The sequence below is a fragment of the Homo sapiens genome, chromosome 7 (assembly GCF_000001405.40).
Source record: "Homo sapiens chromosome 7, GRCh38.p14 Primary Assembly".
Taxonomy (NCBI): domain Eukaryota; kingdom Metazoa; phylum Chordata; class Mammalia; order Primates; family Hominidae; genus Homo; species Homo sapiens.
This window is the reverse complement of record NC_000007.14, coordinates 39,305,540-39,326,174: the sequence shown is the minus strand read 5'-3', so window position 1 is coordinate 39,326,174 and position 20,635 is coordinate 39,305,540. Positions and strand designations below refer to the sequence as shown.

The window sequence follows — 20,635 nt, the reverse complement described above, 5'->3', positions numbered from 1 at the left end:
GGGTGAGATAGGAAGCAGCTCAAAAAAGTGCTCACATTCAATCCCATTATTTTTCCTCCATTAATGTGAAAAAGACCTATTTACATCTTTGATGACTTCTTAGAAGGCCAATCCACCTTGGAGGTTAAAAGGTTTAAAATTAGAGCTAACATTTATTGAGCATGGGTTTTCCAGGGATATTTTTACTTTTATAAAAATTAAGGTAGAAGAGAACCCATAAGCCATATTCACTAAAAATTATGCTACCGGTATGGGGTAAGGGAGAAGTATGCTCAGTTTATATTCCTGTGTTAATAAAATAATTCCTTAAATTCAGCAAAGCAAGATGCACCCCGGCTTTCAAAGCATCAGTGTTTGACTTTTCCTTCAAATGGAGATTTGTAGGAGAAAATATTACAGACAATTCAATGGCTACTGTGCCTGGTTTAAACACAGCACTATGCTCACTCAAATTTCTTTTAGACTATAGACACATGGGCCAGTGCTTATTTTCATGGTTGATTTAATCCATCCCCTGTGCCAGTGTGGGGATTATTCCCTACAGTTATTTTCCAGTGATCTGTCAGTTCAGATTAAAAAAAGTTAAGTGACAAAGATGCAGTGGCTGATTCCTTTAGAAGGCTGTGGAAGCTGGAGTATACAGCAAGAGACTTCTTTTTAAGGATCTGACTATGTTCTCTCTTTAATTTCTCTCACATCGCCACGAATCTTTCTTATCTAGGCTGAACTTTAAACTTCCTAAACAGGCAATTCAATTTTGTTCATATACAACAATTTCAGGGTTGCCAAAAAGGGTTTCCAGATCTTACTTCTTTGGCTCTTGCTTAGTTTTTAAGAAGAGGAGATAGCATATATTTCCTCACTTTACAGATGAAATCTAAGACATGATTCTAGGACCACATGGATCCTAGCTTTGCTTGGGATACACAATAAATGATAATACTGTCTCTTAAGCTACATCTCTTTTTATATTTTGAGATATAGGATTAAAAATATACCTTTGCCAGATTTGTAATTCTGTTCCAGATTCTTTGAGAAGAAACCTGCAATAAAATGATTTTAATTGTATAGCAAAATGTTACTCGTGTTAATGCTAAAAGTTACTCATATCATAAATATTATTATTATTCTCACTCTTATTTTCTCTTTCCATCTCTACAATAGAATTCTTTAGTAGGATTATGAAGATACTGGGTGAGTAATTTGGTTATTTTGTATTGATGTGCAAATTAGTCATTCAATTCACGCATTCATTTTAAAGGCTTTCATATGTACTAAGCTAAAAAGAACGCAACTGACAGTTTTAACAAAATAATTACATTAATTCTACACTCTGCTGCGAGAAAAGGGTCATCAAAAATAGAATCCTAAGAAAATTCATAAAAAGCAATACAATACTGGACTATTAATGGGGCTAGGATGTAATATGGTTGCATCATCTATATGATTACAAGTGTTTTCTGCAAATGTCTCATGGATTTCTGCCAGGATGGTTGGTCTTGCTTATGAGAAGTAAAATAGTATTATTTTTACTTTGTCTACTGCAATGTGGACAAAAGGGGCAAATAGAAATGGATCAGTCAGGATAGGCTAGGTTATGCTGCGATAACAAGCAACCTCAACATCCCAGTACAGTTTACTTCTTTACGTGTCCTAAATCATCAGGGGGCTCAGCTCATTGTAGTCACTTAGGTGGCCAAGCTGGTGGAGCACCTACTATCTTGAACATTACCAGAAGGAAAGAGAGCTTTTGAGAGTGAGAATTGAATGCTCTGGGCCAGAAGTAGCCCCCATCACTTTCTCTTGAAACTCACTGGCCAGCACTGGTCACGTGGCACCACTTGAATGCAAGGAGACCAGGAAGTGCCAAAGTGTCAACTCTCAGAGAGCGGGAGAGCCAGGGAAGTTTGGGGAACTACATTAGTGACCTCCACAAAGGTCTCACTCTGCCCCTCAGATGGTTTCCATATTTATCACTTCCTTTCCATTTTCATTTCCCTTTGTTTAACCTCATTTTGTCTTGTCTGCATCACTGCAAGAGCCTTTTTTTTTTCTTTTTTTTTTTTTGAGATGTAGTTTTGCTCTTGTCCCCAGGCTGGAGTGCAGTTGCGCTATCTTGGCTCACTGCAAGCTCCGCCTCCAGGGTCTAAGCAATTCTCCTGCCTCAGCCTCCCAAGTAGCTGGGATTACAGGCACCCACGACCAGGCCTGGCTAATTTTTGTATTTTTAGTAGAGATGAGGTTTCACCATGTTGGCCAGGCTGGTCTTGAATTCTTGACCTCAGGTGATCACCTGCCTCAGCCTCCCAAAGTGCTAGGATTACAGGTGTGAGCCACCTTGCCTGGCGGTGCAAGGGCCTTTTAACTGACCTCTAATCTCTTGCCTTCCTCACTCTCTCTCTCTCATTTATTAAATTAACTAATGTTATCAAGCCATTTGCCAAGTGCCCATCTGCCACCAGAATTATCTTTGTAAAACACAGATAGGATTATCGTATTAATTTTTTTAAAGAAGGGAATATGATATCTCTCAGCCCAAGGAATTAAACCATAGTGCTCAGCCCAATATTAGAGAATGAGGGGGGGCACTTTGACTTCAACCCACTTTTCTAGAGACACTCTGACCTCTTCTGAGAACCTCACTTCTAGTCCAGAGGTAGAAGCTGATGGTGCATGGCCATCCACAGCCAGCAGACGGGGATGTCCCACTTCCACACATAGAAACAGGGCTTGAAAAAAGTTTGAATGGGTTGACAAGACTAAAAAATCAGGAGAGCCTCCATAAAATATGTATTGTCCATTTTTCTTAAAGACAAAACAAAACACAACCCCACATCCAGAAGGTCTGGCAACATGACCCTGCATGGGGACTGGAGCTGAGTGCAGCTGTCCTCTTGCTGGGATCCATGGCAGCCAGAATGAACTGCCCCCTCTCCTGAAATTCTATGAGGGGACATCCTGTTGTGCATTGCACCACAATTAATGTGTCCCTGGATGGTTCTTTTACCAACTAGCTCCCTAAAGAAGGTAACCATTTTTATGCAGGACTTTTTTTTTTTTTTTAAATCTTCCTGTCTTCTCTCTCAGCAACCTGCATATAGCAGATGTTCACTAAATAATTAGGAATTATAATTGTAGGGAGCTGTAATTTGATTGGCCACTTGATGACTTCAGCTTATTCTTCCTACCTAACATGTATCATGTGCTTGCTTTGGTTAAGTTCACAAAAGTAGAGATACCACTGGAGAATTTCTGAGGTTCCCAAGATCCACTGCTCAGGGTTCTAGGAGACTACCTATAAATCATGTGACCTCTGAGCCTGCAATGGAGCTGCAGTTAATTTGGGGGAATGGTATAGATTTATTTTTCTAAAAAATCAAATTCTTGTGTTCCTTTCTTGAAAATATATAACTGTACAGGCCAAGGCAGCCATCTGGATGCATCTGGAGCCATATCCTAAAAATTCTGTAAAATAATTTTGTTTATGAACTAACAACTTATTAAAGGAAGTGAATGAACACCACCTAAGAATCCAGGATTTGAAGGTGTGCTATAGGAATTCAATAGGAAATATGTATATGAAATGTGGTTAAAGAGGAAATGACAAGCTTGGAGAGCCCTGAAAGGTTATCTGGATAAACAGAAAAGTACTGCAGGTAGGTCTGAGATGGACAGATTAAATCATAATCTTAAAAGAGCGAAAAATGTCATCCTAACCAAGGGCTGACCCAAATTCCACTCAATCTGGAGAGAAACATAATAGAGCACATGGATTAAGAGGGTTTGAGTTGAAGGTCAGGTTTTTAGTATGTCTGGGCTGGCAGGATGTAAAAGTCAGCCAGGCATAACAAACACGTTGCCCTGTTGAGTGAGCAGGCGGCGGAAGGGCCAAAGCATAAGGTGCAAGTGAGGCCCATGGGTCAGTTACTCACTTCTCTTCCCCTGGTCACGCTCCACTCCTGGCCATCTGCAATTGCATGCTCTGTCCCTAAGGGGAACCAGGCAAAAGTATAGGATGGATGAGCACAGATTCGCTAATAGGACGGGTAAAGCAACACAAAGATCCCTTCTACTCACAATGAATGAGAACATTTAACACTAATTTCAAACAGTTTATAGAAAAGCTATTTAGAGGAGGATGAGAATTTGAGTTTTACGGCAAGATAGCAACTCAAAACTATAAGGTACTTACTTCATGAAGGCTCTCATTGTTTGTCTGGACTCATGTAATAGTCTCCCATTTTCTCTCTCTCTCTATCTCTCTCTCTGTCTCTCTCTCTCTATATATATATAAATATATACAATGTTTATTCTTAAAGTATAGCTCCCTCCTCCCCTACTTCTCTTTCTCCCTCTCCCTTCCTCCTTTCTTCCTCCTCCATTTTCCTCCCTTCCTTCCAATGCATCTTCTCTCCTTACTCTAAAAATTTATTAAGCACCTGCATTAGGCTGGGGAATGTGCACACAATTGAACTTATAAACATAACTTCAACTGTGATTCTGCCTTCCTGCACTTCATTCACATCCTATCTGGGAAAACAGACATGCAAATGCTCAAGCACAAGGTGATATGTCAATATTTCTTCTTGGTTAATAATTTTCACTGTCTCCCCACATCTCCAGAGAGTACACATCATCTCCCTTCACATGAAAGCCCTTCACGACTCTGCTCTAAGCCCACTTTCAGGTTTTAGCTCCCAATATTCTTCTGGGTGTAACCTCACACTCCAGCTGCCCACTGCACGTCATTTCACACTCACACCTGGCTTTTGCTCATGATTTGTTCTGCTTTCTGAAATGACCCCTTAGCTCCCCCTCCTTCTATTTCCCTCTGTCATGATCCTACCCTTCTTTCAAAGCTCAGCTCTTCTTTCTGGGCAGCCTCTTCCGCTCCCATTTACACAAAGTAGGTATAATGAAGTGATGCCCTGGTTATGGTACACACAATAGTGCCCCCTTATCTTGTGGTTTTTCTTTCCTTGGTTTCAGTAACCTGTGGTCTGAAAAGATTACAGTATTTTGAGAGAGGGAGTGAGAGACCACATTCATATAACTTTTATTACAATATATTGTTATAATAGTACTATGTTATAGAAGAATTGTTATTTATTTATTTTTGAGACCAAGGGCTCACTCTGTGGCCTAGGCTGGAGTGCAGTGGTGTGATCATGGCTCACTGCAGCCTCGACCTCCTGGGATCAAGCGATCCTCCCACTTCAGCCTCCCAAGTAGCTGGGACTACAGGTGCATGCCACCATGCCTGGCTAATTTTTTAAATTTTTGGTTGAGATGGGGTCTCACTATGTTGGCCAGGCTGGTCTCCAACTCCTGGCCTCAAGCAATCTTCCCACCTTAGCCTCCCAAAGTCCTGGGATTACAGGCATGGGCCACTGCACTCGGCCAAAAATTGTTGTTGTCGTTAACCCCTTACTATGCCTAATTTATAAGTTAAACTTTATAGGTATGTATAAATAGGAAAAAGCATAGTATATAGAGGGTTCAGTACTATCTGCAGCTTCAGGTAACCACTGGGGGTGTTGGAACATGTGCCCCCTCAGAAAAGCAGCAACTACTCTATGTCTTTTATATTAATAGTTGTTAGCCAACATTAGAACACTATTGTCCTAGTTCAGACCATGCTGAAACTCCAGGGCTGCAAAAACACTTTTTGGATTATGAACCCCTTTGAGAATCTGATAAAAAAAATGTACCCTTTACCGAGAGATGTGTTTATACTTATAAATTTAACATAATTTCTCAGGGAATTTCAGACCCTTCTAAAGTTCATCCAGAGACACCTATCCACCTGATGACTGACAGCATCTGCGGGGGACCAGGCTACAGGTCCGGGTGAAGGGCATCTGTCCCTGAAACATATGGCCCTTCCTGGCATCCATTGATGGGGAGAGGTAGGTCTTCTGACGGAGATTCAGAATCTGGAAGGTGGGCCACGGTGGTTGAGGGAACTCTGGCCACTTGTTGGTTTTTATTCTCTTCAGTCAGGTCTTAAGAATTCTTATCTAGCCTCTGGACCTCCCAGGTGAGAAGAGTTAAAGCCTCTCTGCCCCATGGAGGTTCATTCTGAGTGAGCTAAAGGTGCAAGCCATATTATCTGATGGGAGGTTACCCTCTGAGCCGGCTTAAAGTCATGTTTAAATAGTCTAGCCTAGTCTCATTCTGTTATGGGCCTTCAGATCAGACACTATAGTGCATTGCTGAAACAAGATGCATAGAGGATGTCTGAGAATTAGGTAGACATCTCTTCATGCTTTGTTTATCTTATACAGAAATATGATTTTAAATAGTAATTTTGGAAAGAGCTATTGGTGTTCTGTGAGTCCCACTCTCTGAAGGAGTAGGGACTCTTTCCCCTTCATTTCATACCAAGAAAAGGAGGCTTCCATGGAGCTGGTTTATGTCCCTGCAGTAGGGAGTCACATCAGACCTGTGTTGGCCTCTTGTTGGAAAATGCCACAGGTAAAAAGACAGGCTGGTTAGCTGCTCTAACAGGGAGGCTATGGAGAGATTGTGGCCCTGGTGGCTGGCACTTGAGGCTTGCATGAGAATTTCCTCGGGGCTGGATGTGGGTCACATGAGTGACAAAACCCTAGCATGGCCCACCTGAGATTGTGTCTGAGAGAGTCCCGTGCAGAGGTGAATATATCTCAGCATGCAGAATTTAGAGGTAGGGCATCACCCACATTAAAGGATCTGTATTTGAGAGGCCAGGATTGGGAGGTTTCCAAAAACCACAATACCATCCCCCAGAAAGAGTTATCTGTAAATATCTCCAAGTCCAGCGAGCGTGAAGCCAGCCAACAGTAGTTAGTGCCCATCAGTAGGAACCATCCCTGCTTTCTTTTCCTCTGAAAGAGTCAGAAACTAAAGATAGAGGAGGAGGAGCTGAAACTGTAGGTGGGGAACAAAGAGAGATTCCCTTTCCCAGTTACAGGCTTTCTGCTTACAATTTGGTTGACATGTAGGACGTGGGAGGTGAAGGGGTCTGAAACCTCAAATCAAATTGGAGTTTTGTTTTGTTTTTATGAGGCAGGGTCTCCCTTTGTCACCAGATTGAGGTGCAGTGGTGTGATCATGGCTCACTCCAGCCTCAAAATCCCAAGCTCAAGTGATTTTCCTGCCTCAGCTCCTCTAGTACCTGCATGCACCACCACATCCAACTAATTTTTTAATTTTTTTAGAGATGGAGTCTCACTATGTTGCCCAGGGTGGTCTCAAACTCCTGGGCTCAAGCCATCCTCCTGCCTTAGCCCTCCAAAGTGCTGGGATTACAGGTGTGAGCCATTGCGCCTGGCCCCAAGTTGGAGTTTTGACTATTACCTGGGTTTGTATGTTCTACTTATTAAAGCAAAGTAGTGTTTATATTACCTAGCAGTAGCCTGGGATGTTACAGGACTTCCTTGAGTCGTCATTTGGGGGTAAGGGAAGAACCAGCCCTAATGAATAAGTTGAAGGCCACAGTGAGTTGAACAAGTCATGTAGTGATTGCACTAACCTCAGAGGAACTGAGCCTTGCTTTGTTTTTTTCCTAAGAGAGCAGAAGGGTTCTTTTGCAGCAGACACATAAGAACTACTGGGTTAAATGCACTGTATTTTCTTCTGTGCCTTTCCTCCTTTTCTCTCTGGTGTTGTCTTTGTGAGTCTAGGACCTTTGTTGAGGAGAGGGGTAAGTTTCTCTTTCTTTGGAAATGTTCATTCAGTGTTCAGCACATATTTATTGACTGTGCACTGCAGAGGCTATCAAGCCTCAGGGTACAGAGGGATCACCAAGGGTGCTTGTAAAAATGCTGATTCCAGGGCCCCACCTATGCAGATTTTGATTACATACCCTGTAGTGGGCTGAGGAATTGGCAGCCTTTAAACAAGCTTCTGGTGCAGGGGTCCTTGGTCCAACCGTGAGTAGTGCTGGTCTCTACTGGTTTCCTGGCACTGTGCTGGGTGCCTAAATATCACAAGAAATCAGGCATATTTCTTACCCTCAAAAATCTAACAGTTTGGTGGCATATGTAGCTGGCCTGTAAATTATCAACGTGTTTGAGCATGTGTTTCTTTGGAAGTATTTACAAACCATGAGACAGCAATAGGGTTAGTGTGGGAAGAGAGAGAAAAAAACCCTTGTAAGTGCCAAGCAAAAAACGTTTCCTACTAGTGAGACAGTCAGGCTGCGAAGAAAGGGAAAATGAAGGGCGAAGTCTTTAAGAGGCTCACCACAGTGAAAGAGTGACTAGTAATTTGAGGATTCCTTTGCCAGCATTCTGCCAAATGTATGAGAATTAGAGATGTCAGGGTCCTTGGAACTCATCAAACCCAATTTTACCCTTGAGAAATAAAGAAAATGAGACCCAGAGACCCTGAATGATTTGCTCAAGTGCACACAGAGAAGAAGGTAGGATTGTTTATCTGATACATTTTGAATATATGTTGAACCAATAATCACTTATGCCAAGGTGGGTCATTTATTGGCTTAGAATTCTGGAGGCAGTTCTGTACCTAATAGTTAAAATCCCTGTAAATATATGATTCAATGAGGAATATAATTAGAAAGGCCTCCAAAAACTTCTTTTTAAATAACCATTTTGTCTAAGATAAAACAAGTAAGTGAAAAGAAACCCCCATGGTAATGTATTATGTCTTAGCTTTTGACCATAAATTATTAAAACTGAAAAATATCTTTGGCACAAAAACTGAGTTGTGAATACATCTTCATTTGTTCAGGCACCATGTATTTATTGAGAGCCTACTATGTTCCAGGCAACCAGTGATGACTTCCAAGCCAACGTGGACTATGAAAGAGGGATCCACTTTAGAAAGGACACAGCTCCCTCTGGGTGTGTGCTGGCTTTTTACAAGCCATCGGCGAGTTCCCATCATGTTGGCAGCCTCTGTGCAGGCTTAGCTGACTGGGGAGTCAGTTTTACATGCCACTGAGCTAGGGTGTTCTCTGAGAGATACTGACCCTCCAATGGCAAGGCCAGGTTAAGCAGCTCAGCGACACTTACTTCCTTGTAGCATAAAGGATAACTTACTGCGGAGGGGGTGGGATTTGAGAAAAAGAAATTCCTGCTCTGGAATAAAGCACCTGGCTTATCGTGAGAAGGAAGGTGAGCTCCTGATTCTTGCCTTGGGAAGAACATCAGAGTCTTCCCTCTCAGGCTGAGACAATCCCATGTCACTGGGAAGCTTTTGTTAATCTCAGGCTATGTTTCTGATTTTGCCCCTCACTTTTCAAGTGAAAGACTTGAAAGAGAATGGATATTCAAAAAGACTCACCTCCACATGAGTTTATTTCTCTTTTATTATTAGGTGGTTAACAAAATCAAGTTCTATTCTGAAACTAATAATTGTAACATTTCATCTTCCTCCAGCAACAGCAAAGTGCAGCAATAGGATGAAGTGGCCTGTTGCCTTGTCTTACAAATAAATACTTTAAAAGTCTGAAGATCCATTTAGGAAGGGAACTAGGAAACCTAAAGTCTTTCACAGGAGACAATACACAGAGGACTGTGAGCTACACCAACTTAGGGGCTCCCAAGACATAAGTCTTATATGGAACATAGCACAAAGAACTTGGCAAGCATGGGGACTGCTGGGTATCCCCAGAGCTGCTTGACTCCACATTGTGGTGGTGAGACTCACTCACACTGCAATCAGTGGGTACTGGGTGAAAACTCAGGGGGCTCAGGGGCAAGCTAGGTTCCTAGGATATTTCTCAGCCACACTGCCTGAGGTCCAAACCCTTTACTGTCAGGTATTCGCATGTGGGTCCCTGGATATGTTGGGGACGAGTGTCACATGAAACTCTGAATAAGATCACTTTGTTAGTGTTAGAGTTAAAAAAGGAAATCAAAACACTAAGTCCCTGCCAGTGTTCAGAGGCTCCCTGGAAGCAAAATAAATTCAAATCTGTCAGCCCGGTGACCCAAATGGTATGGTTTGGGCATTTAAAACAGGAATGCTGAAAAGATAGCAAGTTGAATATTGAACCCTGTCAATAGACTGAGGCATGCTATTTCTGAGATTTCTACTGCCATTACTACTGTTACTATTCTTATTCCTGGTCTGACTGTGACCACTCTCATTGCTGTTACTCCTACTGCTACCAATATTACTACCAGGACACAGTGCTAAATCGAACTTAAACTCAAGGAAGGGCCTCCTCAAGCTGCTCCCAACCAACTTCTCTCATCTTAACTGGCAGAATTTTTCTCACAGGAGAAGTATATCAAAAAGAAAAACCATTTAATTTGGGGACAAATTATGTAACTAAATCTTAGATCTTTTGTCTATATAATTAGAAAAAATTCGTCACTCCACATGGGTGTTATAAAGCCAAAGTAAAGTTGTGCATGTAAAGTCCTAGGTCCGTGTCACCCATGAAGTCGAAACACTGAACGTGTTCATTCTTTCCTTTTCTTTCTCCCCAACCTACTGCCATTCTTGCTACTGGAGACTCCAACCAGGACTTAAGGGAGAGATCCATGGGATAAGTGGGAGAGTTTGAAGGAGAAAGGGGAACGGAATAAAGAGGATTAAAGCAGAGCTGCCCTGCTCTAGTAGCTATGATGAGGGGCCACTCAGATAGTAAGGCTGCCTGCCGGAGGATGGAGGAGAGTGGGAACTGACCATAAACCAGTGGCCATTTATTTTTCTAACAATACAGATTTACTGGCCCCAAAACACAAACTAAACTAATGCAATCAAAATGTTTATGGATCATTCATTGAGTACCTATTATGTGTCACACTTAATACACCTCCTCTAACCCTTGCAAAAACCCCTGGGGCTTCATTTGCACATATGACTTAAGGGACTTGTGTTAATGACCAGCTGCAAGCCAAGCCAGGAAAATCCTTCCTGCAGTGACCCTCGAGTATGGATACTTCCCTGGAAAAATTAACACTGTAAATGTTAAGGAGATGTTTAAAAGTGAAAAGAAGATTCTCTCCTAGGTTTGATAGAATTAGAGTAGCAAGGCTTTCTCAAAAATCCTAACCTATACATAGCTGTACATAGCAGCCATCCCCTACTCAACAACAAATGGGAAGCACAAACTTTTCTTTCTATGCTATAAAGCATGATACTAAAACTGACAGCACCATAAATCTCAAGTCACGGAAACGCTGTGAAATGTTACGTGTAACAGTGCAGTGTTACAGGTAAGACCACAGAGGTTGAAGTTTTGCTATGTTTTGATTTTGATCACCTGAAGACCATCTTTCAGAAGTTCTTTACTGTCACGGTGCCATGACTAAGAGGTTTTTTGTTTTTTTTTTAAGTTATCTACTTTAAAGTTCAGAAGAGTAATTACCTCAGTTGGGCTTAAGCAGGTACATTTCTAAAGAACTAGGAACAATTCTTTTTTTATTCAGCGCTTTAGATCTCTTTAATGCCTTTGCTAGAGTTTACTTCATGTATCCTTTAGAATCAAAGTGTGATTAATTTCGGTTCCAACAAAAAATAAGTTTTTGTAAATGTAAGAATAAATGTTTTATGTTTCTACTGTGGCATGGAATGTTCTTATGAATTCTATAACTTGCCAACTGGACTCAGAAACAGCAATAGCCTTACAAAACATGATTATTAGGAACATAAGAGTGACAAAACAGAAAAGCAAACAAATACAAATGTTTGTTTCATGCTCTTCCTTACCACTCCCAGCAAAAATGCCCTCTCATCAAAATGCCCTAAACCAACTCAATGCTTTTTAGAATCTTTAGCTCACTCACATAAGGTCTTTTACCCTTACATCAAAGAAATACTGAAGCTTGCTTCAACCAAGGCCCATGCCTAGCTGGGAGGAGTTGCCTGAAGATCATATTAATGACAATTTTCAAAAGAAATAGGGGATGATCTGCTTGCTCAATTACAGCAAATGAATTCCTCCTGTTGGAATTACTGCTGAATTGTAAATCTCTTCAAGAAAGGCCAGTCAACCAACTGTGCTGGACTCCCACACGCCGGGAGTGTTGTGATTCAAAGTGCAGCCAGTAGGAACTGGGTGAGGAAGCCAGGGACCTGACCTGCAGGCAGAAGTACAGTCACAGTTCCCAAACGCAAATGTCTGCAAATCATCGTCACACACAATAGAACAATCGAAGCTGCACGCAGAGCATCACAGAATCTCATGTGTGCATAGCATCACAGAATCTCAAAGCAGAAGAAGTTGGGGGCTCTCTGGACTAAACTTCCTTTAGATGGTAGGGAATTCTCCCATAGGGTCCCTGACAGCAAACATCCGGCATCTTTTTCACAATCTCCATTGGCAGGGAAGCTCAGCATTTATGAAGACGCTGATTTTATCATTAGCTCTGACGCTAAGATAATTTTCTTGAAAAACGGAAAAATTTACCTTTCTGTAAGTGTTCAAATTCTGTTTCTGTAGCAATATCTGAAAAGTCATTGTTGACATTTCTTCTAATATATTTAGGGTTAATTAACACAAAGGCTAGGTATTCGTCAGATTGTCCTGATAAGATTTGGTTTTCAGACCCCTCCGTTTAACTGCTATTACCCTCTAGGTTCACTCTGGTTCAAAAATGTTAAGGGGATGGACGGGGAAGGAATGGACTTAGACCCTGATTTATTTATTCACTAAATAAATACTCGAATGGCTACTGTGTTCCAGGCACTATTGTAGGAATAAAGAAAAAGAAAACAGATAATAATTTGCAACCTCAGGGAACTTACATTGTAGTCTGGGGGAGACAGATAAGAAACAAAATATGTAAAGATAGAGTAAGCTAGATGGGAATAATTGCCAAGGAGAAAAATCAAGCAGAGAAGAGAAAAAGAGGGTGTTGGGGGTATTGGAATTTTAGGTAAGGCAGCAAGGAAGGTCTCATTAAATAAGTGAGGGAATAAGACAAGTGGTGAAGAACCCTTGAGGCAGAGGCAATGGTGCAAGGCCTGAGGTGTGGTTGGGTTGATGGGTCTGGGGATCAGGAGGAGGGAAGTGAGGCTGGAGAGTGTGGGTCAAGAGGGAATGGAGTCGGGGATGGGGCTGGAAAGATAAGGGAAACCAGAAGGGGCAGAAACTTGTAAACCATGGAAAGAACTTTCGGTTTTCTCTGAGTGAGGTGGATTCTCCACTCCTCTGTTTGCTGAGTGGATTTTCAATATTGCTGCGTTCTCTGGGCTCTCACATAGTACAGCAGTCCCCCCTTATCTGTACTTTCAATTACCCGTGGTCAGCAGTGGTCAGAAAATATTAAATGGAAAATTCCAGAAATAAACCACTTACAAACTTTAAATTGCATGCCATTCCGAGTAGCGTGATGAAATCTCACACCGTCCCACTCTGTCCCCTGCGGGAAGTGAAGCAACCCTTTGTCCAGCAGATCCACATTGTACCCACTCCCCACCTGTTAGTCACTCAGCAATCTTAGTTGTCAGACTGACTGTTGCAGTATCGCAGTGCTTGTGTTCAAGTAACCCTTACTTTACTTAATAGTGGCCTCGAAGTGCAAGAGTAGTGATGCTGGCCATTCACATTTGCCAAAGAGAAGCAGTGAAGTGCTCACTTGAAGTGAAAAGGTGAAAGTTCTCAACTTAATAAGGGAAAACATAGTACATAGAGGGTTTGATGCTACTTGCGGTTTCAGGCAGCTAGGGGTCTTGGAATGTGTTCCCCACAGATAAAGGGGGAACTCCTGTAGTGGCTTTACTGGTTAGGTGACTGCTTGGCTTTGTGCAAAATACTTAGGTCACGTTTTCTCTCGAAGCTTTATTGAGCTTGCACCACTGTCTTCTGGCACTGAATGTTTCTGTGAAAAAGCTGGAGACCAGCTTACTATGGGTACTTTCTAGACAGCTTGCTTTTGACACCTGCATGCCTGAATAACTAACCTTTAAGTTCAGTTAACAGTACCAAAACATGCCTTATAGCAAAGATTCACTATTAATTTTTCCCAGAACTTATTTTGTCATGCTGATTCAGTCCTTTCTTCATTTCCAGGTGTTTTTTTTTTCTTTTTTCTACTACATCGTCCATTCTCTTTGGAAAATCAATTCCTTTATATTATGTTGGATCACCAATGTCTATCCTCCGTATCTTTTTCTTCTGTGAGTTGCTTTAATCTGCAATTCCTTTTCTTCTATTTTCACTGCATAGAAATATAGGGCTATTAATTCTGTTTTCAGCTATGTGTATTCTGTTCACTGATGTTTCTAATTTATTATTCCATTCTCTAATCATGTTATTCTGGTTCATAATGTGTTTCTGTAGCCCCTAATTCTTTCTTTAGAAGTTTCATTCAATGTTGCCATTACCTCTTTGAGGTCTTGTTTAATTAATTTTATGTTCTCTTTCATTCCTTTTGTAAGGAATTTTTTATGTTTTTAAAAACTTTCAGGATAAATTCTTCATTTGCCCTTTGCATACTTTGTCCCTTTATTTTACAACTTGTCATTTGTGTCTCTATCTATCACAGCCTTCGCCTGTGGCTTTATCTACAGCTATAGCCACTGCTCTCTCTCTATGTTTATACCTACACCTACATAGCTAGATCATTGAATTATTTCTGCCTGGTCTAATGCTGTAACATCATTTATCCACCCATCCACTAATTAACTAATTAATTCAACAAATACTTATTGACTACCTAGTAAGGGCCGGGCACTGTTTTGGATACTGAGACAAATCAGCGATAAAAACAGACAAAAATTCCTGCCAATGCGGAGCTTACGTTCTAGCGGAGGAAGACAGAAAGTAAATAATGAGCTTCATAAGTAGGTACACTATATAATGTGTAAAAAGGTGATCAGTGTGATGGGCAAGACTGTGGCAGGGTGAGGTGATGAGAAGTGCAATGGGTCACCACAGGAGAGTTTTGAGCAGAGGGGTGATATGACTTGGTGTTTGTTTTTTTTTTTAATTTTTTAGAACCTGGCTGCTTTTTGCCTGTATAACATGTACCCAATGTGACCACTCTGCATAGTGTGAATGGGTTCTCCTTGAACTTTTTTTTTCCTTATCAGGGATCCTTTGCCTCTCAGAGTTTCTGTTGAAGACTGGGGCTTTTCTTTGACTGAAAGAGTGAGGAGGAGGAGACAGCCACTTGGTAACCCACTCCCTGCTCTCCGGAAATATTGCTAAAAACTGCATGCCAGGATGACTCTATCCAACCGGGATGTGACTTGCTTCCCTGGAGGATCACCCTCCTAACTGTCCCCCCAATTCAGGATGAGTCGCTTTCACTGGAAACAAAGGAAGTCGGCTTGAGGTCGCCATTGTCCTGCTTCATGCCTCTTCCCTCCCTTCCCAAGCAGCTCTTCACCTCTGTCTTGGACACAGGATGGGGAAAGGCAGGCAGCCAGCGGGGCCCCTGCTCTGAGGCAAGGCAGGGGACTTCACCAGCACCCTGCCGCTGGGTCGCAGCCTCCCCTGGTGGCTCTTGGCTCTGGTGTGCCCTCTTGCCTTTCATTCTGCAAAATCCTTTCTTTTAGTTCTAGGTGATGACAATAGTTCTGCCTTCCTCCTGGCTAGGAGAACAAAACTAGTATGTTGTACTTACATCATGTAATGGTTATTTGTTAGCATCACAAAGTACACACTGATGCGTAATGGTGTTTTCTTAATTTTAAAAAGAATCTGTTTAAAGGGAATCAAATTTTCATTTTGATACTTAAACCAATGACAAATGTTTTTCACCAACACTTGAGGATTTGGATATCTATCACTGGTTGGGAAAATGAGGGTCTTTTATTAAAAAGTCTGTGCTTCTAGGGGACAATCTCCTTTGTGTTCCTGAGTCTCGTAAAATGAAAACTTAAACAGATATTTGTGTATAAATCAATAAGGACACTTATCCCTTCCACGCCTTATACATAAAGCTGTTATTTCCTAAGTGTGTATAACGTGTTGAAACTTCAGCTACTTTTCAACCTTGGAAAGTTATTTTTCAAAAAAATATTAGATTCAATGCACAGATCTGAAAGGCTTCCCATCCTTTACAAGATTTTTTTCTTTCTCTTTTTCCGCTCATTGTAAAGCACTGTGAAGTATTGCACTGTGGGGCTATATACTCTGGATTGCCCTAGATTCAGGGAATTCAGAGTTAAGGCTCCAATAGTAACCTTAACTTTGCCTTCTTGCGGGGTTACGGCAGGCTTTTGTTATGTGATCACATCATCCAAAAGAGCTAAATTCTCCACCGCTTATCTGCCATTCCACCTGCAAAACCCTCTTTGAAGTCGATGGAGCTCTGGGCACTGAGGGGCCAGACATAGTATAGGAGAATTAGGCCCTGTGCATTCAAAACTACAAAATGACACATATATGTGCATTTCTTATCTGCGAGAAAAGGTTTAAAAGGCCACAATTTAGCTACTTGTTGGTGCCTTCTGGAGGAGCTATAGAGAAAAAAGAGTGTGAGCTCTTCCATTTATGTAAGTCACATTCTATGTCATGTCACCAACTCGTATATAGTTGTTGGATAAAAGCCTCCATTGTACAGGAAAGGTAACCTTGTAAAAATGACAAGCGTAGGCTTTCTTCATGTTTTATGCAATTAAAATGTTAACCTTGACATTATACTAGCCCTTCAGTTTTCTTTAAATGCCCTTCAGTTTGTGAACCTGAGGAAAAAAAATTTTTTTTAAAGGTGTGGAGTTTCTAGAGCTAGCAATCTCCTTCTTAACCATGTCTTCTTTATGGACAGCCATGGGGATCGGCTGTCCCAGCCAGGAGCCATTGCCATTATTTGAGGGTTTCCTTCACCATCTCTACTCCTTCATTTCTTCCAGGAAGTTTCTTTTCCATCCTACCCTGCCTCTTCTCTACTGAATGATTAGAAGGTAGAAGAGGGAAGAGAGAGGACAGAGAGCAAATGTTTTTCCATCCACCTCAGTCTACCCAGCGTGACAATGGTAGGTAGGATTCCTTGCACCATCTCCTCCCTTGTGGAGGCTCCGGCGTTGCTTCTTAAAGAAAATTCCTTGGACCCTCTCCAAGTCCTGAGTTTCCTCAAAGGCAGTTGAGTCTCTTTTCGTTCTCGCTATATTCTGTGCCCGACTCCCTCCCCCTCGTTCTGATTTATAACCAGGAGTGCCTTATTTTTATCTACATGGGGGGCAAACAAACAGGAGGGTGGGTGACACAGAAGAAGACTTTGAATGGCCGCTTGCGAGCAGTAACATCTGTGTAGAAAACCTCATAAAGGTGGCGTGTGTCTCTGCGTGTGGCTGCGCCACAGGACACTGAGGGAGAAGTTCTGAGATGCTGCTTTCCAAAATGGCCATCAGAACCCTGGGCTGACGTGAAAAGTGGGTAGGAAGGTAGGCGGATCAATTCCTGGCACCCGCAGGGGGAAGGAAGTGAGTTAGTGATGGGCAGTCAGATGATGTTTCCTGGGATGGGGTGGGGTACATGGCACAGGGCGCCCACTTCCTGCCGTGCCTCAGCCCTGGCTTAGTGGAGCAGAATACACCTTTTTTGGCTGCCCCCAGGAGCAATGGCCTCCAGTCTGAGCTGGATGACGTTCTACTTCTTCTGCCTGGTATGAGAGAGGGGACAGGAAGAATGGAAACCCTAAATCCTATTGTTTTTGAGAATAATGTTCTGATATTCCAGTTGGAATTCTGAGGTTATTTTTACCTAGAGACATGAGCTCAATTCTTACTCACATCTGTAGTCCAGGACCAACTTTCCGTGGGTTCTAGATTAGGAAGTGTGTAGGGCCAGAGCTGACAATCTCCTTTTTACCATGAAGCTGATGAAGCTTACGTCCCAGGGCCCCTCATGGGAAGCTTACGCACCTGGGGGAGGCCCTCACACCATGTCCTCCTGATCACACGTTTCACTGAGATATTTAACTGCAGGTGGCAGCCTCTGTTGTCTTTTTCCACATTGATCCCCATCCGTGCCCCCACCCCAACACTGCCCTAGGTTGGGGGTACTTGGAATGGTTGTGGGCATTTGTGAGGAACTTGAGTTGGGGATATATTCAGCAATGGTTGTCAAGACTGAGATGTCTTTACGTGGTTTGCAGTTCCTTCTATGAATAGCTGAGTTACTGTGAAATATCTTGGTGTAGAAAGTCCTTCTACCCCTTTGGGACATGGATATGCACTGCCATAGGACTTTGTTCGGTGGCACCTGGCACTGGAAGTAGGTGGACAGTGGAGGCAACAGTTGATATATGCAAAGCCAGAAGCTAGTCTATGAAATATTCTTCTAAATCTTACAACTCTTTTTTTTTTTTTTGAAACGGAATCTTGCTCTGTCACTCAGGCTGGAGTGCAGTGGCGCGATCTCTGCTCACTGCAACCTCCATCTCCTGGGTTCAAGGGATTCTCCTGCCTCAGCCTCTCTGAGTAGCTGGGACTACATGCCTGGCTAATTTTTGTATTTTTAGTAGAGACGGGGTTTTGCCATGTTGACCATGCTGGTCTTGAACTACTGACCCGCCTACCTTGGCCTCCCAAAATGCTGGGATTACAGGTGGGAGTCACCATGCCTGGTCTAAATCTTGTAACTTTTATAATGAAAGTAACTTAATTGAGGACTTTTTTTGTTTGACAATAATCCTAAAACTTTACTTACCAATAACACATGAAGCTCTAAGAAACTTTTGTAAGAATGAATAATTTTTCAAAAAAAGATTAATCATGACAGAGGAAGTATAAAATTATCTTCAATCATCTCTATGGAAATTGAGATTGCACAATTTTTGTCATCTGAAGAGGCAGTAAAAGGTATTAACCAAAAAACTTAGGAAATATTATCGAGTATGATAGATTATATTTGTGAATTTTGTGATGTTTATGGCCTTTCTAACTTTTACATTTGTAATTTGTTGTGATTTTTTTCTTATTCTAAAAAATATTAACTTTAATACATAATTTTGTATTCTTAATTTGGTACTCTTTTTCTTAAAGAGAGTTCCGAAAATTATACATGCTTCATGATCTACAATCCCAAAGCTGCCATTGTAGAAAGAATATTCTGACCTATTAAATATTGACCTAGCAAAAAGATGTTTTAAGAGGTGGTGGCTGGCCAACAATTATTTTAAATGTGTAACAGTCACTGCAGAAACAGTCTTCTGAGGGCATTTTATAATGCAAATCAACATCTCTCAAGCCATCATTTGGTGGGTCTCTTGGACATCTGAACAATCCAATGTCCTCAAACACTTCAGTGGAGTGACATCCCCTGCACCCCTTCTAATGGATCCCTTCAAAATTCTGATCCTAATTCAGAGCTGAAAGATTGCAATAGTAAAGCCCATTACAAACAGGAGCAAAGAAATCAAGAAACAATCTTAATCCTAACGTGGATGGAAACAGGGTCCTCTGGCAGAGTAAATGGAAAGCAACAACTCCAGTTTGGCCAGAGGTCTCCTATCCAAGGATTAGTATATAAAATCATGCTCCAGACATGCTGAAAGCGTATGCAAATAGCATATCTTTTATTTGGAAAGAAAGTCCTTAGGCTTTTGGTATTCTGCAGAAATCCTACATTCCTGGCCACTTTTTCTGAATTTAGCTAGGTATCTAGATTAGGTAGTGACCCCAAAAGTGAGACTAGACCTAAAAACTCGAAGGCAATAATTACAATGATGACAGAGTGTGGTTAATACATTCTAGAAAGTAGAACCAGGCAGAAGAGCCCCAACTGGCACCTTGTTAGTGATGTAATAGTGGTAGGATGGCGTAGCTGGGAGAGCATGGGTTTTGGAGATCTATGTTTAAATCTGACCCTGGCTATGTTACTTAACCTCCTGAACCTCGGTTTCCTCATCCATAAAGCAAGCTTAATGATACCCACCTGCAAGAATGCTAGGACGAATGAATGCAATGCTGTGGGTAAAGTGTCTGGATACCAGAAGATATTCAATGAGTGATAGCTATTATTTCCTTTGTGAGTTTATGCCACCACGGCTGTTGGAAGGTCAAATTCTTAGACTCATCCATAATAGCTGCTTTTATAAGCAAGCGTGACTTTATTTTCAACAATGCTAATTTATTGGCTACTGACAGGCTGGCAGTTCTTGATTTAATGTGTTGGGTTCTCTTGATTTGTGAACCTGGTTTCTATTTATTAGAAGCTGGGAAATTTTAGACATTGCTCATGGATATAGGATTTCACAGACTAAATTTGCAAATGGAATGTTTCTCTCTACAGTTAAGTAACTATAGATTTTTTTTTTAAAGGGAAAGAAAAGGAAATTGTAAGAAGGGCTATTCTGGAAGGAAAAGAAATTGAGTCATATTTCAGAGTGGTTAAAGGATTTACTATTCTACTCCAACTTAGAAGTTTTCTAAGAGTAAATTTAGTTCATTTCTCTTTTTCTTTTACAAATATTCAGTGGAAATCACATACATGACAATTCAAAGTATCAGGCTTCAGGATGTTCTCTGCACATTGAAGAACATTAGCAAAGGCCTGTTTACCATCTTACATTTTCAGAGAGATATAATATTGTCAATTTAAGCCAACTGTTTTCCTTCAGGTCGTACTGTATGTTCTCATTGGAATTGCACAGCAGGGGAAAAGCCTCTACAGAAGTCCTCCCATGCAATTATAATACCTGGAAACTTCAGAATTTTAACGCTGAGGACTATAACAGCAAATAACCACAAATACCAGGAAATGTGCAGACACTTGCTGCACATC

General features: G+C 41.5%; 1 protein-coding gene across 5 annotated transcripts in view, besides 2 other annotated features; it reads right to left on the bottom strand.

The window, feature by feature from the left end:
* Nucleotides 1–20,635, bottom strand: part of POU6F2 (POU class 6 homeobox 2) — a 490,693-nt gene that overhangs the window by 142,427 nt on the left and 327,631 nt on the right. The window lies entirely within an intron of this gene.
* Nucleotides 14,832–15,333: an enhancer, noted in NCBI's record as "H3K4me1 hESC enhancer chr7:39350441-39350942 (GRCh37/hg19 assembly coordinates)". NCBI's record gives its function as "activates a minimal SCP1, AML or CMV promoter by ChIP-STARR-seq in primed H9 embryonic stem cells {active_cell/tissue: H9 hESC(primed)}" and the evidence as "EXISTENCE:reporter gene assay evidence [ECO:0000049][PMID:30033119]".
* Nucleotides 15,334–15,837: an enhancer, noted in NCBI's record as "H3K4me1 hESC enhancer chr7:39349937-39350440 (GRCh37/hg19 assembly coordinates)". NCBI's record gives its function as "activates a minimal SCP1, AML or CMV promoter by ChIP-STARR-seq in primed H9 embryonic stem cells {active_cell/tissue: H9 hESC(primed)}" and the evidence as "EXISTENCE:reporter gene assay evidence [ECO:0000049][PMID:30033119]".